This window comes from Homo sapiens, chromosome 17 (assembly GCF_000001405.40).
Source record: "Homo sapiens chromosome 17, GRCh38.p14 Primary Assembly".
Lineage (NCBI taxonomy): Eukaryota > Metazoa > Chordata > Mammalia > Primates > Hominidae > Homo > Homo sapiens.
Window position 1 is genome coordinate 11,236,512 of NC_000017.11, and position 23,796 is coordinate 11,260,307.

Consider the following 23,796-nt stretch of genomic DNA (forward strand, 5'->3'; position numbering starts at 1 on the left):
TTCAGCTGGCACCCTCAGTGTATCAGTCAGGGTGGGCTAGGATACGCTGCAATAATAGGCCTCAATTCCAGTGGCTTTAAAAAGCAGATACATAGAGAGATGGATAGATATTAATAGATAGAGATATAGATAGATATTTATAGATAGAAATATTTATTTTTTTTATATTTATATCTCTATGTACTATCTATCTATCTATTGATCTATATTTACTCATGCTACATGCCCATCGTGGGACACTATTTTTATTAGCTATCAGGCATTCCTCACTATAGTCACCTAAGTACTCACACTGACAAAAACCACTCCCATATAGAACATCGCTGATCACCATGCCAGAAGAAAATGAAAATTCTAGAGTGTCTTGCAGCAGCAATTAGATGCTCTGTTTCAAAAATAACACACATCATTTCTGCTCACAACTCATTGACTGATACTAGTCACTTTCCCCTCCTACTCACAAGTGGGCTAGGAATTGCAATTCTACTACATGCCTGGGAGGCAGAGATATTTGGTAAGCAGTGCTAACAACTATAAAATTGAGGCCGGATGCGGTGGCTCAAGCCTGTAATCCCAACACTTTGGGAGGCCAAGGCGGGTGGATCACCTGAGATCAGGAGTTCAAGACCAGCCTAGCCAATATGGTGAAACCCAGTCTCTACTAAAAATGCAAAACTTAGCCAGGCTCGGTGGCTGGTGTCTGTAATCCCAGCTACTAGGGAGGCTGAGGCAAGAGAATCGCCTGAACCTGGGAGACGGAGGTTGCAGTGAGCTGAGATCACGCCACTGCATTCCAGCCTGAGCAACAGAGTAAGACCTTGTCTCAAGAAAAAAAAGAAAAGAAGATCAACTTCAACTCTTAGCTGGTGCCCCAACCCCAAGGTAACAACATCCAGAGAAATAACACCAAAAAAAGAAGAAGAAAGAAGAAAGAAGGAAGGAGAAGGAGAAGGAGAAGAAGGAGAAGAAGAGAAGGAGAAGGAGGAGAAGGAGAAGGAGGAGAAGAAAGAAGAAGAAAGAAGAAGAAAGAAGAAGAAAAGAAGAAGAGAAAAGAAGAAGAAGAGGAAGAAGAAGAAGAAGAAGAAGAAGAAGAAGAAGAAGAAGAAGAAGAAGAAGAAGGAATTATCACTATTTTTAAGAGCAAGAAAATTTCCCCAGAAACCCCCTGCAAACTTCTCTCACTTAGTATTGGCTAGAACTGGATCATATGTCCCTTCTTAATCCCTGTGAAGGGGAAAAAGATTTATTATGTCTAGCTCAACCCAATCAGCATTTGCCTTCATTTGCCTTCTACAACCAGGGACTGGGTCACTCTCCCCTGAACCTCAGGACTGTCTGAAGTTGGTGGAGGTGTTGGAAGAGATGATTCTTCTCTGGTACTTTTTATTGAGTCAAATCCACAAAGAAAGAGCACTTTAATACTGTCAACAATTCAGGCGCTCAAACTAGAAGGAGAAAAGAGAAATGTATGGTGGTAACCAAGCAACCTTTTCTACTACAAAGGGCAAACCAGGAGGGCTGGAAATGTCAATAAGAAATACAGTGTACTGCAGCAAGAGTTGGGATATATAACCCCTAAGATCTTACACAACCCTGAGATGCTATTATTTCCATGAGTGTTGATGCCACCACTTATGAGCACAGGGGTTCAGGATACATTTATAGGTGGTGGTGGTCTGAGAAACCAAATCAGTTTCCCCTACTTAATGCCGCTGAACAAATCATTAGAGTCTGATGTGAGGAGGACACATTTCTCCTATCCATCATTAAGGGGCTCTCAGACATGGAAAAGCAAATTCTGGAATAATGAAGGGATGGTGAAGGCTCATGGAAGAGACAAAGAAGGGAATAGCTTAGAAATTGCACAGAGTGTAAAGGTAAATATATAAGGCTGTTGTCTTCAAATATGTTCTTATGATTCCCAAATGTATATGCCTGTCTTATCTTCTCTTCTGAGCTTGCAATTCTTGTGCAGGACAGCTCCACTTAGTTCTCTCAAAGGAACCACAACACGACTATTGCTAACTCTGTCCTGAACCTGCTTTTTCAGCCATGCTTATTTCCACTGTGGGCATCAACTCCCAGTAATCTACTGCATCCCTTCATCATTTTTTACCTGTATTATCAGGACAGCTTCCAAATTGCTTTTCCTGCGTCCAGTCCAGTGTTCCCTACTCCATTTGACTCAGAGATCCAGCAAACATGTAAAACTGACAGTGTCTTCTCCTGATTAAAACCCACCAACAGTTCCCCAGCAATTGTAGAATAAATTCAAGTTCTTTGCAAGGGAGGATTCAATACCCTCCTGCTAGCCTTATTTGGAAGACTCCCTCAGGGTTCACGCTAAACTGCTTGCATCCCTGCTCACACACCTTAACCACTTCCTGTCTTTCTGGTTCTGCTAAGGATGTTCCCTCTGCTGGGAGCCTCCTTCCCCTCTTGCTTGCTGTATTAACTCGTAATCCATTCTTCAAGATTCTGCTCTACCTCATTGAGAAAGCTACATTTGACCCCCATCTGTCCCCTTGCAGGCCTAGGCTGGGTGCCTGTCTTCTGCTCTCAGAGCACCCTGCCCGCCTTTATCATGAGACGTAACCTTGCCATGTGGAAATCATTTGTTTATCTGTCTCCCTAATGGTCTACAAGGTCCCCCTCCTTGAGGAAAGGGACTCTCTTATTCATTCTGCTGGCAGGGAGTAGGCACTAAACAAATGTTTGTTGGACAGAATCTTTAAGAAGAAGGTGGCAACTGAGAAGTTAAGGGAACGGGAGGAAGTGCAGAGGAAGAGGGAGGGAATGGAGACAGTAGCAAGTGGGGAGCTGCGGGGATAGTCTGTGCACCGCCCCCCACCCCACCCCCTAGTCAATATCAGGATCTCCCTCTTGTGTCTTGGAGTCTGAGTTCGAGCTCTAATATATCCATTCCACGGTTCCCAAAAGAGGAACTCTTCTGTTCCTGGATAGGGATCCCTTGTTTAGGTCACACATGAGTGGGACTGAACAGAAAGTCTCAGGGAAAATTCTCTACCGCCCTCGCTCTGACAGCCTGTTCCCTGCCTTCAGTTCCCTGCCTTCAACCAAAGCACGCTGGTCACGCAGGCAGAATCTTGGCCTTGGCCATCGCTTTTTGTTCTCAGTTCCCCCTACCTCCTCCAAGGACACACGCCAAGGATGGTACTATGATTCTCTTTTGGGATGGCCTCGTAGCTGTGAAAGTTAGACTCAGGCCTCCTTTCCACAGACCCAGACACGCAACTACCCCGGAAAGCACCCCCGCCCTGCACCCCCATCCTCCTCACCTCCCATAGGAGCTGCAGCACAGAGATTTCAACACAGGGGTTACAAAGCTGAGTCTCAGAGGTTCAGATAGCTTTCTAATGGCCTCGAGGCTCCGCGGGGAAAAAAAAAAGTATAGCAAAGAGTTGCCATCCAGTCCTGGGGCTGTCTAGCGCCTTTATGCGTAGTGGGTACGGGGTTGGGGAAAGAGTGACCAAGGGGAAGAGAGTGTAGGCTCAGCTCACGGGTCGCCCAACAGCCTCAGACAAGCCACTTGACCCCTGGACTCAGTTTGGGAACCTGTAGCAATGGGTTTGACCTCTTCTCCTGGCTGCGAGTATCACCACTAGGGAGAGGCAAAGGCTTGCAGAAACCCCAACTCCCGCTCAGGCAGCGCGCTGCCCCGGGCTCCGGTAGGGTGGGGACTGGTCGCGAAGGCTAGAGAAGGCAATGGCAGGGGAGGTCAGTCCCTGCCGCGGGCCGGCTGCAGAGCGGACGTTCCGCCCTGCTCCCGGCCCCCTCTTCGCCCGCCGGGTTCGCCGTGTCGAATAACTGCTGTCCGGAGCTTTCGTGACGCGGAGCTTCAACTGCTGCGATCCGGAAGAAGCGAAAAGGAGTCCCCCCCGCCCCGCACCCTGAGCGCCCGGGCGTGCAAACGTGGGTGGCGGAGAGCGGCTGCCCTCCCCTCCCCTGTCCCCCCTCCCCTCGCGGCGCTCCCGTGTGTGCGGGTGTGTGAGTGCGTGTGTCTCCCTCGCTCACTCTCGCACACGTTCCGGCACTAGTGCAGGCGGCGAGCCGGCGGCTCTCCGCTCGCTCGCTCCGGCAGCTGCGTTCCCGCCTCGCCCCGCCGCCGCCGCCGCCGCCGCCGCCGCCGCCTCTGCAGTCGCAGCCGGGCATGGTGAGTGAGTGAGGTCCAGCCGCCGCGCGCTCTCCCGGCTCGCCGCCGGACCCCAGCCTCAACCGGCTCCGTCCCAGGGAGCCAGCCTGCGGCGGGAGCGCGCTGCGGGGCCGGGCGGCTGGGGGACCCGGGCGGCCGAGCTGCGCCTGGAGGGGCGGCCCGTGCGCTCTCGGTTCCAGGCGCGCAGGGCCGCGGGACCCCGTCTTGGGAGCGGGCTCTACGCCCCTCCCGGCTCCGAGTCTCTCTCCTCGAGGGCTGCGCGCACCCTCCCCGCCCGCCTGCCCGCGGTTCTCCTCCTGCTCCCGGAGCGCCAGTCGCCCCACCCCGTGACCGGCTCCCCGTCTTGTCCCGCAGGACCCGCCCGGACGGGACCACGCCGCCGCCGCCGCCGCCGCCGCCCGGAGCCGCGCTTCGGGTCCTGCCTGAGCCGAGCCGCGCGCGGGGCCGCAGTCACCGCCGGCGGGGGATGGGGCTGCCCAGGAGGCGCGCCGAGCCCGCAGGGGGAGCGCGGAGCCGGCGCGCAGCCTGAGAGCCCGAGCAGCCCGCGCCGGGCCGGTCCGTGCGCACCGCGCGCCGCCGCCGCCACTGCCGCCCGCGCCTCGATGGCGCCATCGCCCCGGAGCCGCTGACCGCTCAGCGCCTCCAGCCCGGCCCGCGCGGCGGGTCCTCCGAGCCCGGCCCGCCGGGGGAGCGGCCTGCCGCGGAAGCCTCCCCGCGCCCTCCCGCCCGGCCCCGCCATGGCGCTGCGGCGCCTCCTGCTGCTGCTGCTGCTCTCGCTGGAGTCCCTGGACCTGCTGCCCAGCGTCCACGGAGCCCGCGGCCGCGCCGCCAACCGGACCCTGAGTGCAGGCGGCGCTGCCGTCGGGGGCCGGAGGGCCGGGGGCGCCCTGGCACGGGGCGGCCGCGAGCTGAACGGCACCGCCCGGGCGCCCGGAATCCCGGAGGCGGGAAGCCGGCGGGGGCAGCCCGCGGCGGCTGTGGCGGCGGCGGCCAGCGCGGCCGTCACCTACGAGACGTGCTGGGGCTACTACGACGTGAGCGGCCAGTACGACAAGGAGTTCGAGTGTAACAACAGCGAGAGCGGCTACCTGTACTGCTGCGGTACCTGCTACTACCGCTTCTGCTGCAAGAAGCGCCACGAGAAGCTGGACCAGCGCCAGTGCACCAACTACCAGAGCCCGGTGTGGGTACAGACGCCCAGCACCAAGGTGGTGTCGCCGGGGCCCGAGAACAAGTACGACCCGGAGAAGGACAAGACCAACTTCACCGTCTACATCACCTGCGGGGTGATCGCCTTCGTCATCGTGGCCGGCGTCTTCGCCAAGGTCTCCTACGACAAGGCCCACCGCCCTCCACGGGAGATGAACATCCACAGGTGAGAGCGCCGCGTGCCGCGCGCCCCGGTCTCCCCGCGGCCTCACCCTCTCAGCTTGCTTCCCCTGTCCTCTTCACTCTCGGCATCATCACACCTCCCCAGGCCCTCTAGTCATTTCCACCATCGCTCCTTTTGCATGCAATAAATCAGGGTCTTCTTGTGCCCCCTCCTCCATTTCTTCAGAACCGGGAATGCATGCTTTGGTGGTAGGGGGATTTACAAGGCAGAGTAAGAATTGGTTGAGTGCATGAAGTTCCAAGTGTAAGAATGTTACAAATTCTGTAATCGTGGATGAGGATCCAGGGTTCTGCTTTCCTGGCATGAGGGCACTTTGGTGTAGGTTCTTAATGGCATTTAGTTTTTTGAGTCAAATCAGAGTGTCATCTTCAATATAGGAAACTGACCAATGTTGGAACCTTACTGAAAGCGGTACCAAGTGGCTTAGGGTCAACTGAGATGTTCTCGTACATTAGGAATTGGGGTTTTATAGAAAGGATGCCTCCTGCCGGAAGTAGGGATAAAGATTTCTCCATTCCATGTTGACCAAGCACAGATGGTGTCTCCTCATTGCATCCTGCGGAGTGGGATGTTTATCTTTCCTGCTGAGACTAGAGGACTCGTTCTTTGAAACCCTGTAGGCAGAACTCTGAGTTAACAGTACTCGCCTGTGTTAAACCTGGTGGGGCATCTTTCACTGCTTACGTTCGAAAGACAGTGGGAGCTGCCTCCTACCAAAACTTACGCCAAGAGCTCAAACTATGGCAGTCCCTGGTTGCACGCTGAATGCTGCCCCGACGCACCATCTTGCCCCCCAGTGAGCCCTTGGGGAAGTCAAAGCCAAGGGGATGACAGAAACCCAGCCTCCCCTTAGAACTCTAGGAATGACACACCCAGAGGATGCAGAGTTAGCTCGGCTTCCTGTCCCCTCATGTTGATGGATGGCTGGACATGGTGCAAGAGTCCTCTCAGGGAACAAACCCTGCCCCGGGAGATGCCTCCATTTCTGTTGCATGGTGTGGGCACTGCCCTAGTCACCATGAGCACCCCCCAGACCACTGCTTGTCAGTCAGTCCTGCAGGCCCCCACACTGACCCATTCACCTTGAGCTCTTCTCTGCGTCCTGCTTGTTATTCTTACCACCTGAAAACCGCCTTCCTCGCTGCTGTGCACATTAATCACCCCTGCCTTGCTGAAGAGAGAGAAAGGCAGATAGAAATTTCTAGGCATGTTAAAAGAGCTGATTTTTTTTTTCTGCTTGATACTGTGGGTGTTGAGAGAAATGATACTCCCTGGAAGGTTTTATTGAGTCAAATCCACAAAGGGTGGGTACCTCAAACTCGCGTGCTGGAATTGGAGTGATTCCAAAAGGAGACCCTTTTATAAGGCTCTGTCACCCTGAGGTGCCTCCACCCTGTCTTCCACTTGCACCTCATGTCTCAGATAGTGCAGTAAGTATCCTCTTGTGTGAGAAACAGCCTGTGGTCAGTCTTGGCTCTCAAATGCAGAAGACAAGTGGGACGGTGAGCAAAATAAAGGCAAGAGACAGTTTCTTTTGCATCTTGTCTGGCAAAGAATTTTCTGTCTCGGCTCAGTGTGGAAAGAAAAGAAGGAATTGCCCGTGGGCAGGTGCTGTCCTGAAGCAGATGTGCTGGTCCTTATCATCCTTACACCTCTGCCTCAAGACTTGGAGGCTTGTCTCCTCTTCCCCTTCCCCTGTGGCCTTGGCCTCTCATTAAACCTTCTGCTCTGACCACAGCCGCTTGCTCGTTGATTCCTACACATCTTTCTTTAAGTTACTTTCTTTCTGAGCCATTGTTCTCTGTACTCAGGGAAAACTGCCTGCTGCCCTGACCCTTCCACCTCACACAGTTTATTCGTCATCGCCTGGGATGATACAGAGGGCGGTGTCCTCAAATGCTGGCAGCAGGCATCTTTGGATGCTGGCATTGGCACGTGACCCTGGAGAGGTCACTGTCCCTCTTGGTGTTTTCTCCCCTTCCCACCACCCTGATGCCCCTTACGCCAAACTAGGGTGAAGGTGATTACGGCATTGGGGCAGCTTCTCTCTGGGGTTGGGGAAGCAGAGTAACCACGGGAAGGGAGATGAATTTCAGGCCTCAGAGCTTTATGCAAATATGGGATGTTTCCCCCTCAAGTTCACCACCTGATTTTATTCAGTTCACAGCCTCTCTTCCAGCAGCTGCAGTCTTGCCTGATCAGTGCTTTGGAAACCATCATATCCGTGCCTGTTGGGTAGGGGACAATGCCTGTCTGTGTGTGGTAGGGGGACAGGGCATGGGGGATCCATCTACGACACTCCATGAATGACCTTGGGCAGGTCAGGGAAACTTATTTTTCAGTTCTGGGTAACTGAAGCACAATGTCCCAACTCAGCTTCTTGCTTCCGGGGCACGTCAGGGTGAGTGTGCAAGTTGATCTCAGACTCCTGGGGGTGAGTGTGACTACACCACTCTTCTCACTTTGCTCACACCTCAGAGACCACCGTTTGCCATTCTGGGGAGTATTTTTGTGTAGACTGTCTTGTTGGGCAATCAAGGTAGGGAAAAGGAGGGAGTGATAGAGACAGAGAAATATTCACACCGTAATGAGTTTTCCTTAGGGAAAGTGGGGAGGAGAAAGAATGTACACTCTCGAGAGGTCAAGAGAGGAAGCGGATGTGCATGCAGTTACATATTCCTTGAAATAGCTCAGCAAAGATGTTTCCTTTCTGAACAAGAAAGACAAACCGGTTTCAGTGTGTGCTTCCCCCTGAAGATGATAGGTGGGCAGACAGGGGCTGAGTCTGAGGGAGTTTCAGTGAGAACAGCCTCATTGGAGAGGGACATTTATGGGAGTGTGAGCAGGGGTGAAGGGAACGGATGGGCCATCTGCATCTGCCTTAGTGCTCCCAGGCTGGACAGCCCTCCGCCTGCCCATGCACACACATTCCTTAGGGTAGGACTTCCTTTCATCTCTCTACTCCTTCAGGGAGGAAGATATTTCATCATTTCCAGAAGTGATTAGACCTTGCTATCGTGTTTCTGAGTGAGAAATCAGTGTCTGTGGGGGAAACCGTCAGCTCTCTTGTGATTCTAATAGATGAGTACCAAGTCCGACTCAGCTAGCTGGACTCCGTGGAGGAGGAAGAGATGGGCACAGGATTGAAAGGCAGAGCTGGGTGCTGGATGTGGCCAGAGAGCCCCAGGGCAGCCGTGCCTGCCTTTCCCAACCGGAAGCCCAATTCCTACCAGGATCTCCACTTCACTTTTCCCTTCTTCCAAACTGCCCGGGCTAAGGCTCAAGCTGCAGCCATCCACAGATTTTGCTATTTCCTGACTGACTTCCGCACAGCTCCCCTGAGGGGCTTTTTGTTCTGGGAGGGCCGCCAAGGGCATGGGCTGCACCCAGGAAACCGCCTGGGAGCCTGGGTCCTTTTTGACATTCATTTTTGTGCTAGCTGTCTCACATCCAAACCTGTTCCTTCCTCCTCACCCTGAGTTGATTCATTAGTGTCTTGGAGATGAGAATCATTCTGAGGGAGGAACTGTGTGGCTTTTTTTAATGGCTAATTAACAGATGGGTCAGGAAGCTATTAGGATGCTGGAGACGCAGTTGGTGAAATCAGAGCTGCCCTGGGTCCTTCCACTGCCTGCACAGGAGCAGAGGGGATCAAAGAATGTGGGCAGGGTGGGGGGGGTGGATATCTAGGTGGGTGGGAAGAAAAATCCAGGTGGATATCAACAGGAAAAAGTATTAGGAGGTGACCCCTTCATCTTGGGTTGGTTCTCTTGCTTATTTCTAGAAGAAGTCAAGGGAATACTTTGTTCTACTCTTTCTCCCTCCAGAAATTAATTAGAAACTCAAAGAGCTCTGTTATTTCCTCACAGGCCACATAACTGCAGTGGCAGGGCCCCTTCGCTGGCTGATTTAGTGAGTTCTCTTCCTAGGCTCCTGGGCAACAAATTGTCAAGTCACTGCGTTTTTTGAAGCACTGTGAGCTCACTATAATGAATTGATCTAAATAGAGAGTCGACTTATTTTTCTACTTCAAATATAGAAGGAAAGAAACAAAAAAGCATCTTGCCTTGGACTGAAAGTTTTAGCCTTGCCTTTATTTCTTTTTTCTTTGAGTTAAAAAAAAAATGCTTCGCCGGGTGCGGTGGCTCACGCCTGTAATCCCAGCACTTTGGGAGGCCAGAGTGGGTGGATCATTAGGTCAGGAGATTGAGACCATCCTGGCTAACACGGTGAAATCCCGTCTCTACGAAAAACACAAAAAGTTAGCCGGGTGTGGTGGCATGCGCCTGTAGTCCCAGCTACTCGGGAGGCTGAGGCAGGAGAATCCCTTGAACCTGGGAAGCAGAGGTTGTAGTGAGCCAAGATCGCACCACTGCACTCCAACCTGGGGGCCAGAGCGAGACTCAGTCTCAAAAAATAAAAAGAAAAAATAAATGCTTGTAGGGAAAGAGGAAAATTGTGGAAGAACTGGAGAAGTCTTATGGAGGAAGGGCTAGGGGAAGGATGCTGGGAAGGCAGAAAGAAGCAAAAATAGCGAAAGGAGGAAAGCAATCCAGTGAGAGGTTGATTATTCCCACTGAAGGGACAAAGTGACGTTGCCCTGCCTTCATGTGCCACAGGCTTGGTTTGTCCTGACTCTTGCAGACACACGCAGACATTCACTTAACAAATGAGCCCTGCTCACCTTCCCTGGGCAAGATGTGTTTCATACTACACCATATAAGCTTATAAGACACATGTTGCCTTTGATATATGAGGTTAGCAGGGTTCCTTCTTGCTTTAGCAGGGCAACCATGCAAATACTTTTCAAATTCCCTACACTGTGCAATTCTCCTTGGTCACATTGCTCACTGTCTTCATGTCCCTTCCTGCCCCTCCCCAAGCTCAGAAGGCCTTCACACCCATCCCTTTCTCCCCTCTTACCCTACCCGAGGTGGGGAGCACATTCATTTCTGGGAATCGACTGCTAAGGTACCAAGTTTACCCACTGTTCTAGGCTGCCAAGACACAGCTAGAGAAAAAAGCCTAATTCATTGTATTCAACTGGTTTTAATGAGAGATCGGATTGACCGTGCAGTGGATTCAAATCAATTGTGCAGGAAACAGTGGTTAAGACAGCTGAGAAAGTGATCTGATTGAAAGAGGCTAATTCACTAGCTCCAGACGGACAGTCCTACGGATCCGGAATAAAAGGGAACCACAACAAAAGAAGCTTCATGCTTCCAGTTCCATCGCCTGATTTTCCAGGGGCTGGCAGATTGTATTTAGGTCTTCCCTTTCTAGTTCAATTTCTATAGTCTGCAAGAATTCCTACCACATGCTGGAACTGCCACCGTGCTCCTGGCTATGGGAGGTCACCACCCTCCTTCCCTGCTGCCCTCTCCCCATTCAAACACCTGTACCATCCATTTTTGAAATTATGGTGAATTTTGTCTTACAATTTTGCTCATAGCCCTTGATGATATATCACCTCTGGAACCACAAAATGATGGTTTCAATTTACAAGCATGTAAGATGTCTCAGATTGGTTGGTGGTGGTGGGAGGGGTTGTGCTTGGGTGGAATATATGAGGATTTAGACTAAGTACGTTTTGTAGTTTCTGTTGTGATTTTTCCCCTCTTTTCTTTACCTTGGGAAACTCCACCCCATTATTTCTTCCTGAGTTACGTTTATGACCTCACCTCTTTGGCGTCTTTCTTTTTTTTTTTTTTTTTGAGATGGAGTCTTGCTTGGTGGCCCAAGCTGGAGTGCAGTGGCACAATGTCTGCTCACTGCAACTTCCGCCTCCCTGGTTTGAGCTATTCTCCTGCCTCAGCCTCCCAAGTAGCTAGGACTACAGGCGCCCGCCACCACACCTGGCTAATTTTTTGTATTTTTAGTAGAGACAGCGTTTCACCATGTTAGCCAGAATGGTCTCGATCTCCTGACCTCATGCTCTGCCCACCTCTGCCTCCCAAAGTGCTGGGATTACAGGTGTGAGACACGGAGCCTGGCCTCTAGTGTCTTTCTTTGCAGATATTGTAGAGAGATAAGAGGCCTGGGTACAAGGGTTACCAGTGAATCCTCAGAGGGTCTCAGTCCCTTGAACTCAACCCTTGAGCAAGCTTAATTTTAAAACAATTCAGGATACATTGCTAACTCTATTTTTTTTAATCTCTCGAAGTGAAACCAGAACTTCTGAAAAAGCAGGGTAGTACATTCTATTCTTTTGTCATCTATTACAGAATTATAACGTTTTCATTGCAGGCAATTCATTTAATCTCGTTACCTAGTTTTACAAGTGAGGCAACTGAAATTCAGAGAGGCTAGGTCACAGTGCCAAGGAGCCCAGCTAGTGGGTGGGTGAGCTTGGAGGTTAAGCCAGGGCGCCTGTGTTCTAGCGCTCAGACTCATCTCATTCAATGAAAATATATTCTGCTTCTTTACTCTTTGCACGTTCCTTGGTTAGTCATCACCAAATAACTTTGGGATCCTTAGAGATGTGAGTTACAGCCTTCTCCTTTCTCTTTCTTTCCTACGTTTCTGTACCCCTCCTGGTTCACTGTTTCCACTGAATGTCTCCACTAAAATGATTTCTGTCGATCTTCCCCGCTCCTTTTGCAGTTTTTTCACGTTCCTTTCTTAAGGGCAATAACCTAATCTAAGCATAATCCTTTTATAAGGTCTGAGTAATGCGGACTATTGAAGAAGGAAAATAACAGCACAACCAAAGAGTTGTGGACTGGGGCAAAAAGTCACCGAATGAAACTGTGGGCAGAAATCTGTCATTAAAAATTCAGGGCCAGGCACAGTGGCTCACGCCTGTAATCCCAGCACTTTGGGAGGCCGAGGCGGGCAGATCACGAGGTCAGGAGATCGAGACCATCCCGGCTAACACGGTGAAACCTCGTCTCTACTAAAAATACAAAAAATTAGCCGGGCTTGGTGGCGGCGCCTGTAGTCCCAGCTACTTGGGAGACTGAGGCAGGAGAATGGCGTGAACCTGGGAGGTGGAGCTTGCAGTGAGCCGAGATCGCGCCACTGCACTCCAGCCTGGGCAACAGAGCGAGACTCCGTCTCAAAAAAAAAAAAAAAAAAAAAATTCAGACTGTGAATGCTTTCTCTCTCTCTCCCAGAGATGAGTGGAAATGCTGAATGCTGAGACCTACCGGATCAATGCAGTTCAGCTCTGTGAGAGGCCAGAGACCTCCCGCCATCCAGTGGCCGTGTGTGTGTGTGTGCGCGTGCGTGTGTGTGGACGTGTGTGTGCGTGTGTATATGTGTGTGTGATTTCAGGGTTATCTTCTGGGTTGGCCCCCTGCATAGAATATAGCTCTGCAAGCCACGGAAGCTCATTCATAGACGCCAGTTTTGCCCTTTCTCAGCTCTGGGCCCAGATACTGCAGGCTAATCAAGCTGGAAATCTGGGCTTAATCATTATGTGAAAATAACCTCTGTGGCATGCAGTTTGGGGGTTTTCCCTGTAATGTGCTTGATACTTCCTTTGAAAGAACCTGGTTGTACATACCTTAATGTGTCACCCTTCCAAGCAGTCACCTTGGGAGGCCGCATGCTGATTTTTCTGCAGAAAATGTTTCCACGGTCCCTCTCTTGAAAGTACATTGAGAGCCCATGGCATGTCATTTTGACTTTATATAAGGGTAACATATTTTAATTTTCCTAGGGTTGATTTGATTCTTGTAAGCAATGGTAAGTCATGGGGCTGAGTCTGATGAATGAGATAGGTGATCAGAAATCAAGAGTGCCTCCAGTAATGAGACTTGCTCTCCTAGGAGCCGTGTCAGCTGTCTCTGAAGGCAGGAGCCCAGAAGAGGCATTTCAGAAAGGAGTGAATGGCAGCTCTGCACAGGAGTGCCTGGCAATCCACGATGATCATTTTGAAGAGGACACTCCTCATGAGGAACGACAATTATTGGCCTTAAGAAAATCAGTTTTATGCTTTATCCGTGTGTCAGGCAGGTGGTGGAGGTCCTAAGAGAGAGGGAGAAAAAGGAGTTGAGTCTGCAGCAAGCATTTCACATGGAACTGCTCAGAAAGGGTGAAAAAGTGCACGTCCCATATTTCTGCATGAGATAGTAGACAGTTAGCTTAATTTAGCTTCCTAGTTTGATACTGAGGGTAAAAGGACCCAGTTTTACGGGATGTATGCAGTGAGGCTCGGGGTCAGAGCCAGAGTGTTCACTGTGCCTTCCCTTCTTTCTATCCCAGGGCTGTCGCCTCTGTACTTCTGCATTCAGACGGGGTCACCAGCTGGGCCAGACTGCCTTAGATGATGTAGAAATATTTGCAAGCCCAGGAAGATAAGGCTGCCAGTGAGCACTGCTGATCAATTCCTAATGTGCATTTATCACCACTCGCTCCACCCCCAAATGTCCATTCAGTGGATGAATTGATCACCGAAATGGAGCGAGGGTGGGGCAGGCTGAGTGTAAAGGCAGGTGACAAGGGTTACCAGACTCAGTGTCTGCAGGCAGGGAAGCCATGGCTGTGCTACCTGGGTAGAATGGCATTCCTTCATCTCAGTCAGGATTTAGGGGTTGGTAAAGGGCTGGGCATTTGTACTGCCCCCATGCATAGGCCGGGGCAGAGCCTCTGGTCCTGATGACCCTCTAAAGGCCATTGTTGGGCATTCTGGAGGAGTCAGTCTTGCTGTGAGCCTGGGGAGTCCCTCTTAACTCTGCTCACGTGTCAGGACAGTGGGAGCTCTGTGTCCCAGGAGCTTACACAACCCCATCACTCATGCAAGCCCACAAGCCAGAGTTGGAGAGAACTGGAGATCTCGGTGAGATGAAGACTCAAGGAAGTGGAGAGGATGGTAGAGAGATACTCATAAGAGTGCCGGGTCTCGAGGGCTTACTCTGTACCAGCATCCAGCTTGCACCTAACCTGCATTATCTCGCTGCATCCTCCCATCATCCCGTCTGAGTGTAGGGGCCCATGTTGTAGATGAGGAAACCGATTCAGAGAGGCTTAGTAACTTGCCCAAGGTCACACAGCTAGTACATTGCTGGTGCCCTTCTCTCTCTCAAGTCCAGTAGAACAGTTGGGTCTCACCTTCCTGAATGTAATGGAGTCAGTGATACTCAGATTACTTAAGAAAGCAAAGACCTACCTTCCCATGCCCTGGGACTGGTTATCATAGTGAAAGACTGGGAAGATAAGTGACCTACCTATGAGGGCTCTGTGGAACCAGAACGGCGGCCCCCATTTAGATTGCATGCAGGCAGCAAGATCCTCAGGGCAGTGAAAGAGCTCTCTTTCAGGAATATATGATATTGGCTGAGGATAGCAAAGGCAATGCAAAGAAAATATTAAACAAAACAAAACACCCTGATTTTAATTGAGAAAAAAAAAAAACTTGACAATATTGAAAGAACCCCTGGGCAATTCTGCATGAGTCAGTGGAGAGCAGTGACGGGAGCTTGGGTGAGGGGCACAGGAGAGAAAAGAGGCGATTTGGGAGGCGGTATGGACCTAGGGATATTTCTAGTTTTAATTACTGAGATGTAGAGCTCACAAACAGCTCCATTTATCACAACTCTCCCACCCTGCCCCATGTCTAACATCTAGCATCGTGCATGCAAGACACAGCACTTTAGCCAGCTTGCTTCTGCTGTTCCCTGTTCTGGTTTTATTCCTTCCCTGTTTGTACCCTGGTGGCTGTGCTTCGTAATGACTCACGCTTTCCCTGTGATTCTCTGTTTCCGGTTCTCTCAAGTCCCCTGTCCTGAGGGGCACGTGGAAAGGAAGGAATCCTGGGACACTCTTAATAGCCTGTGTTTTACTCTCCAGCTCCCAACCTGCCACACGCCTCAAGGTCCGGTTGTCACAGGGCGGTGAGCAGCAGCTGAACTCACATTCCCTGGTGTGCAGCTCTTGCCAGGGGCACCTGAGCAGGAAACTCACCTCTGCCTGAGGGTGTGTGAAAATGTATCTCACTAGTCTTCCGCAGGAACCCAGCGTTCCCGCTCCCTGTTTTCATCCTTCTTGTCCCTGCTTGACTCATGCCTACTCCTTGTTAGAAGAGCAAGAGAACACTTGGACCCCTCCTTGCCGAAAGCCCCTGTCCCTCTCTCCAGACCCACGGACGCAGGAGCCCCAGTGAGACCTCTGGGCGGCTAGAACCTTGGCCCCATTCCCCAGTGTTTGGGAGAAGAGTCGCTGCTTTCTGCAGTCTTCGCAAACACTCTCATTATTCCTTGCTTTTTTGGCATTTGGTCTCGTGTACTGTTCCCATTAGCTTCGGCATTAAAGTCTCATTACTCAGGACATCTGTCCTCTGGACATATTCGTTGTTCCCTTAGCCAAATGTCCTCTTCTGGGAAGCGTGTTTTCCACCCAAACAGCCACTTCTCTCTTCCTTCGCCCTTGCTGTTTCAGTGGGAGGAATATGAATTCTGAAAGGCTTGGCGGAGGGAGGGGGTGGCTGTTAATTTGAAGTGGCATCTGAGAGTCCCTTCAAGAGCCCATCCATCCACTCCTTTCTAAGGTCCTGAGAATATGGATCTTTGCTAGGAGTCAGGCAGGTTGGTGGCCAAACACCATAGGAGCAAAGAAGGGAGTCGCCAGGGGAGTTTTCCCCACTCAGTCCTAGGATCAGGCTCAGATACAATCACTAGGGAATTCTGACCTTAGTCACTGCTGTTGGACGGCTTTGACTGAAGGTGAGACTCCTCTTAATCCATCTCCCTGCAGCGACAGGGCATGTGGCTGGCTCAAAAGCTGAGGCTGCTCCAGAACTTGGGGAAGAATCTGGATTCCACCTTCCCTGTTGGACTCATAGTTAGCTGTTTCTGACTTTTTGCTGCATCTTGAGAAACTTGCCTGAAGTTTCCCAGGAATGGTGTCCCATAGTCTTGGGAGACTATTTATGCAATGGGAAATATCAATGCGTTTCAGTGCTCAGATAATCAACAGCCAGCTTCTTACCCAGCCTCAAGCATTCGCGAAGAAGAATATATCGGGCTTTTGAGCCGAGGATCTCTTACACCTCTCCCTTGCTTTTAAGTCACATCATTAAAATGTTTCTTCGTGTCACTTTCGGTGTTCTGTCCACTGCTGTGTCTTCTCCATCTGTCCTTGTTTTGATTCCTGTTCAGTTCTGTCGAGCTGTGTTCCTTCTCCCCTCTCTGTCCGACTTGCCTTCCTGAACTTGTCCTGCCACAACTTCATTAAGCCGCATCGATTTAGATGCCACTAATTCAAAATTTATCCAAATTGGACCTGGGCAAAGTTTTTTTTTTTTTTTCTTTGTCTGATAAAAATCTGTGATGAACAGATTAATAGCTCAAACAAGACTGCAGAGATTTCACAGGGGACATACACCATGGAGAAGGTTAGATTGTTTACAGGCGGGCTCTTAGTAGACAGTTGGCATGTTAATTCCAAATCATTCTTATCTATTCATTGAAGTAGCTCTTCGAAGATCAATTTTATTTTATTTTTTTAGTTGAGTTTGAAATCCTGCATTGGCCCGGGAAGCAGTAAAAATGCATTTCCTTTAAAGTGTTTTGGAATTTTTATGTCTGTTTCGTTGATAGGGATTAGCCTGCCCTTATTTCTACTGAATTGGTGATGCTTGACTGGAAGCTGCTTCAAATCTCCTTTGCAATTCCCTCTGGGGGTTCCTGCTAATTTTCCCTCTTCTTGTTTCTTTTCTTTTTCTATTTCCTTGAGTTTTTAGAATCCAACTCTCTCTCTTTCGGCTTTGAGAATTCATGTTATAAACTTCGCCACATCCTTGTGCTCGCTTTTCTGCTTCTTGCCACAGTCATAACCAGCTGGGCCTGAGAGGTTATGGATCTGGAGGCAGACTTTGGAAAACTTGTCCGGACTTCGAGCCCTGCCTTGGCTCTCTCTGTGGTTCTCTCTCAGTGGCCTAAGGACTCTTGCTTGTGAATCACCATTCCCAACACCACTGTTTGGATTGAGGAGACAGCATCACACCTACTGTAGGAAGTGGTAGGAGGCCCTTAGCCAGCAGCCCTGCTCCTTATAGAAAAGAACTTTGACTTGCTTCTCTTAGTCTGCTTATGTGGCTCTCAAGGGACATCTAGCAAAGCCTTCTTTCACCTTTGGAGGTTGTCATCCATCTTTCCCTGCCTTAGAGCATTTCCTGGGAGCTGAGCTACAAGACAGAGTAATCCCAACTCTGTCACTTTCTGTCTTGATGACCTTGGGTGAGTCCCTTGGCCCCTCTGCTGTGGGATGTGAGCTGTAGTGTTGTGGAAGTGTGTTCTTCTTTGGCCCATTCTGCCCTCAGCACACCTGAAAGATACATGCTGACACAGTCCACATCTATACTTACAGGTTCAACAGCTCTGGGATGTGGGAGGAGATGTATTTTCCTTGCATACGCCACTCAGATAAGAATGTTGTCTGCAAGTGGCCTTGTGAGGATGCTGCTTTTAGCATCTTCGACTCATAGGATCTCTTGGTAGAAGAGGACTTATGAGGCATTTTAGTGACTCTCTCTTTTGGCACCACCTGCCCCTCCTCTCATGCACAGCAAGTGGCCATCCATGCGTCTAGGGCAGGGCTGCCCCTACCTCTGGAGGCAGTTGGTCTATTGTTAGGATGCAATTCTAGTTGATTCTCATGGGGAGCCAAAATTACTTCTTTGGCCTGAGATCCACTTCCTGGAGTAACTCAGAAGGAGTGTATCCTTTCTTTTGCAGGATGGCAAAACATCTGTTTGAAGATGGCATTCAAGGCCCACATTCAGTCTTCCCTTCTCCCTAATAAATAGGCACTCCTAGTTAAGAGTCTGTCCTCATGGGACGTGGGTTCAACTTCACACTGGGGCAGAGGCTGTCCACCCAGAAATGGGGTTATAATTCTATGGTAAAACCCCAAAGGAGATTTCTAAGAGCAACATGTGGATCTCAGTAATTCAGATGCAACTTAAAGATCTGGTTTCTTCTGGGAAGTTCTTTGGTCTGCAGCCCTACACAGCAGCTTTGCTTTGTGGCAGGGATCCATCTCCCATACCACTATGTCAACAGGACAGGAGTGTTTGCCTGTTTTGTTTACACCTGTATTCTAGTGCCCAGAGTAGTGCCTGGCACAGAGTAGGTGCTTAAGAAATATAACTGAATGACAGGCTGAATACATGAGTTAAAGTCAGTAGAAATTAAAGTGGTCTTTTTTGTGTACCCTGCCCTTCTGATATTTGCATTAGTGTGAAGATCCTTGAGTAGGGAAATGACAATAATGTTTCTAATTGTTTTAAAGAAGGAAGAGAAAAATGAAGGGAGGAGGGAGGAAAGAAGGAAAGAAAAGGAAGAAAGAAAAAGAGAGGGAGGGAGAAAGAATAAATAACTGAATCTTTTACAGAACGTGTTGCCCTGGCCAGTTTGATCTGTTTGCCCTTCTGTGCCCCATTTGACTCCTGATTTCTTTTGCTCAAGCTGTGAATACCTTCATTTGCAGCGGGGCTTCATCTGGATACTTCTTTGCAGGCTAGTGGAAGCAAATCCATGGTGACCTGACGGGAAGGAACAGGCTCTCTTTGCCTTTGGCTGTCAAAGTCCAAGTTCAGGGTTCAGCAGAAACGGGTGTGTGGTCATATGGATTTCCATCCTTAAGCCGGAGTGGGAAATATGGGGCGTGGATGGTCCCTTCCAGGATGACCCACGGCCACAGCTGTGCTGTGTGGCTCCCCCACCACACCAAGAGTGTTGCCAGTTTGGCATAACTGCACCAGTCCTCTAAGACTCTCCTCTTCTGCCTATGCTTTTGTTGTGGTCCTATAGGCTGAGCCGATGTAGATATTAGGAGGTTGTAGACATTTGGATTTATTTATTAGTCAAATATTTATGTAAGTGCTTAATAGGTGCCAGGCTCCTTGTAAGCCTCGTAAGCACTTTACAACTATTACATCATTTAATCCTTATGATAACCCTAAGAGGCAGACATTATTTTTTGCCTCATTATTTTGGTCTTATTTTTTCAACAAGGTCACAGAGCTACGGGACACTTAAGTAGCTTGCTAACAACCGCCAAGTGGCCAGCATTCCAACTTAGGCTTTCTGGCTTGAGAATCTCAGTGTGTGGCCATTAGGCTGTGCTGCCTACGTGTTGCCTCACTTCCAGGTTTAGGTCTGAGCCCATTGCAAATAAAGAAAATAACACCGGCCGGGCACGGTGGCTCACACCTGTAGTCTCAGCGCTGTGGGAGGCCAAGGTTGGGTGGATCACCTGAGGTCAGGAGTTCGAGACCAGCCTGGCCAACATGGTGAAACCCCATCTCTACTAAACATACAAAAAGTAGCTGGGCGTGGTGACAGGGGCCTTTAATCCCAGCTACTCGGGAAGCTGAGGCAGGAGAATCACTTGAACCAAGGAGGCGGAGGTTGCAGTGAACTGAGATCACACCGCTGCACTCCAGTCTGGGTAACAGAGCGAGACTCTATCTCAAAAAACAAAACAAAACAACAACGCCAACAATCACAAGAATCGTAATGGCAGCAGCAGCCCATTTGCACCTTGTACACAGGTACAGTTATGAACTCATCTGTCCCCTGGTTGACCATATGGCCCTGCTACCAAATCTTGGTAGCATTTTTTGGTTTCCCAGCTTCCAATAATAATAGGTGCACCTGACACATCCACGTTTTCAACGAATTCTCAGACAATCCAAGTATTTCTGAAAAGTCTGGGTTTGATATTGACGCTACCACATTTCTCAGGCCTGGGGGAATTTTCATATGATTAATGTAAGGAACGGAGTATGTGAAGATGATGCTGTTAGGATTGAATTGGGCCCCCAGGGGATGCACATCTACTCTCTACCTGGCTCCCGGCTGGCCTAGTGACAGCGCCAGGACAGGCACCCACTGGGATGGAGAAACTCGCTCGGCTTGCCTGAAAAACAAAACAGGCAGGCCGTGCCTTCCCTCACTGAGTCCTGCGACGTTTATTGGCCATGATGAATTTCAATTGTGCTGGGGACAACTCAGACCTGCAGAACAGCTCAATGCAGATGCACAGACATTGTTAACACAACAAATGAGATCTCCACAGCCGTTCTGAGCCTCTCTGTATGAGGAGAGCAGTCTTGTGCACACACAAAGCCAGCAGCTGTGTTTTTCAAGTGGACTCCGAGAGAACCGGTAATAGGGAAAACTAAATTAAGCCGTTCTCCTTGGTCCATGTTTGTTAAAAATACATTCATTTCAATTGTCCTGGCTACATATTTTAGACAATGGAAGCACTCCGACTGTCCAGTAGGTAAGTGTGAGATGAGGTTAAAGAGGACACCAACAGTTCTTAAGAGGTCATTATCAAGTAAAAGCACAGGGGCGGATGTAGTGGCTTAAACCTATCATTCCAGCACTTTGGGAGGCTGAGGGAGGCAGATTGCCTGAGTTTCGGAGTCCGAGACCAGCCTGAGCAACATGGTGAAACTCTGTCTCTACAAAAAATTAAAAAATTAGCTGGGTGTGGTGGTGCTTGCCTATAGTATCAGCTACTGGGGAGGCTGAGGTGGGAGGATCGCTTGAGCCCAGGAAGCCGAGGCTGCAGCGAGCCGTGATCTCACCACTGCACTGCAGCCTGGGCGACCGTGTGAGATCCTGTCTCAAAAAAAAAAAAGAAAAAAAGAAAAGAAAAGAAAGGAAAGAAGGAAGGCAGGAAGGGAAGAAAGAGGAAAAGCTCAGTTATCTGGGACTCAAATAACCCATATCCTTTATTTAACTGGAATAAAGTATCTACATTCTGCTTTCAAGAGAAATACAAAAGAATTAGCTATCAGAGACTTACCTAAAGGAAACAAAAACAAGCAATTTCCACCATCTGTCTTGTAGTTTTTATATGAACAGTTCCATTTCCTAGACTGTCTACATATTACTTAGGTTTTCATCTGTGAAGAGAACTAAAGATTAGACTGATGGCCCTCTTGTGAAGAACCTTGAATTTTATAAAAAAATTAATTATATTCAGTATACTTAATTAGGCAGGAATGCTTTTAGAAAGTTCTTCAAAAACAAGAGTGTTCTCATTAGTCCTTAGAAATAAGAACATTAACCAGAATAGCTTATTCACGGAATAGTTCATCTATTTGGCCTTTTATCATACTTATCCAACAGCATCATTTTCTTCCTACCATCCCGAAAAGAGAAAGGGCATGATTAGGGCTCGAAACTATCCAGTTTGCCTTGCATTTGGCACAGAATAACTTACTGAATAATAGCTGAGCTTGTTTTCTCCTTTCCACAGCATTTAGACAGCTCAGAAATCCAGAGACGTGGCAGAGGCCGAAGGTTTGTTTCCATTGCACCACTTCAGTGAGCAGCAGTATTCATGGGGTCCTCATGGAGGGCATGTTGATTGAGATTTAAAAGAATTACCAGGTGAACTAAGGGGCTCTAGGTTCCCCCACTTAATTTGGGGGGAACTAAGTTTGACCATCTGTTCAGCGAATGAAGATTGGGACAAAAAATAATCCAAGTTTTCATTTTGGTGCTCTTTCACCATATTTATTTTAAAATTTGAAAACTCCATGAAGTCCAGGGACAGCTGGGTAGATCCTGCCAGACTACTGGGAAATGCTTGGAGGAACAGGGCCCTCACTTCCCACTGGCCTTATGCACAGCAGGGGTCTGGTGAAGTATATTGGTGTTCTAGTCAGGATTTCATTTGGCAAAAAAGATGGCTGCTAAAATAGTGTAAAAGGTTGTAGAGCTGTTGATGTGAATGACACACTAAGGTGAATAGCACTGAGCAGTTCAGCCACAGCTGAGTTCTTAGGTCTGGGTAGGTCTTTGCCCCAACGATTAAACACTCTCTAAAATCTTGTGTTCAGGGACCATTACAGGGACATAGTAGGTGAAGAAGACAAATGTGACTAAGTGGATGGATGGATGGAGTGTTGGGTGGAGGGATGAATGGAGGAATGGATGAATGGATGGAGAGTTGGATGGAAGGATGAAGTCTTCAATGATGGATGGAGTGTTTTATGGATTGATGGATAGAGTGTTGGATGGATGGATGAGGGGATGAATTGGGGGAGATGGATATAATTTTGGATAGATAGGAGGTGACTGGATGGTTGGGATATGGGATGGAAAGAGGGAGGGAAGGATGAATGGAGGGAGGGAGAGATGGGTGGCTAGATGGATGGATAATCCAGTGGTATATAGTCAGCCCCTGTAGTTTAACCTACCTATGTTTGGAATGTGAATTCAGCACTTACTAGCTGTGTGACCTTGGGTAACATACATAACCTCTAAAAGTTTTCATTTTCTTAACAACGAAATAGGGCTACCGATGGCACATCCCTTGTAAGAGCATTCTGAGAAATATATGATCCAATGCATGTAAGAGCCAGTGTCTGGGACATAGTAATCACTCAATAAATGATAGTCTTTAATATCTCGAGCAGACAAGACTGTGAGGCAAAGTTATGAACAAGGTTTTGTTTATTTTTCTGTTGTTAAGGGAAATCACTTGCCATTTTAAGCACTAGTTCATATCCTGAATGCAGGTGGTAACACGTTAAAATGTTGACTGGGCTTGGTCCCTGCAGGTGTTGAGATAACTAAGCACTTACGGAAATTCAGATACACTTTCATTCCCTCAGGACCACTGACAACAATAACCAAGGTTTTAAGCAAATACATAATTGGTATTGAACTGAATCACTCATTTACTAATTGTTTCTCCATGCCCAAATATTAACTGGCATTTGCTAAATTAGCTGACCCAGCTGGAGGGACCAGGAAGACTCATTAAAGCTGATGATTTGTAGGAAGTGAAATGTATGTAAGAGGCAGTCCCAGTGAACAGAAGGATGCCCGGGCTCAAGTCAGAAGCCTTGAAGTTAAATCCCTGTTCCAATATGTGTTAGTACTGGAATTAGCCTGAACCTCAGTTCCTTGTTAAAAATTGTGGTAATAATAGCTGCAAAGGTCACAGGGATAGGATGGGAATCACATGAGACAGGGCAGGTGAATGCATCGAGAAATTATTAAGTGCTATCCAAATGTAAGATGATACTTTTGCTATTAAGGTGATTAATACACAATACCAAGTACTGAAGAAAGCTTAAGTTTCCTGGCCTGATCACAATGACTGTTTTCCCTGATCAGATTTGCTGCCTGATTAATTTACTCTCCCCTGCTCACCACACACCCGAGAAAGCCAAGAAATAGACAGAAGGGAGCATCAAACCTAGGCAATAATCCAGATAATTCAGGCAAAAGAATTCTTTTGTTTGATATATCAGATA

At 48.9% G+C, this 23,796-nt stretch overlaps 1 protein-coding gene across 3 annotated transcripts in view, besides 2 other annotated features; it reads left to right on the forward strand.

Annotated features, from left to right (window-relative positions):
- The first annotated feature begins 4,701 nt into the window (after positions 1-4,701).
- SHISA6 (shisa family member 6) overlaps positions 4,702-23,796 on the forward strand; it is a 322,851-nt gene continuing 303,756 nt past the window's right edge. For all 3 annotated transcript variants that reach the window (NM_207386.4, NM_001173462.2, NM_001173461.2), the window contains exon 1: positions 4,702-5,549. In NM_207386.4, the coding sequence (NP_997269.2) occupies positions 4,912-5,549 (638 nt within the window). In that variant the 5' untranslated portion in view covers positions 4,702-4,911. The remainder of the gene's footprint in view (positions 5,550-23,796) is intronic.
- Positions 8,327-8,828: an enhancer, noted in NCBI's record as "H3K4me1 hESC enhancer chr17:11148155-11148656 (GRCh37/hg19 assembly coordinates)". NCBI's record gives its function as "activates a minimal SCP1, AML or CMV promoter by ChIP-STARR-seq in primed H9 embryonic stem cells {active_cell/tissue: H9 hESC(primed)}" and the evidence as "EXISTENCE:reporter gene assay evidence [ECO:0000049][PMID:30033119]".
- Positions 21,768-21,956: a silencer, noted in NCBI's record as "fragment chr17:11161596-11161784 (GRCh37/hg19 assembly coordinates)". NCBI's record gives its function as "represses an EF-1alpha promoter that drives an FKBP-Casp9 reporter gene in an ReSE screen in K562 erythroleukemia cells {active_cell/tissue: K562}" and the evidence as "EXISTENCE:reporter gene assay evidence [ECO:0000049][PMID:32094911]".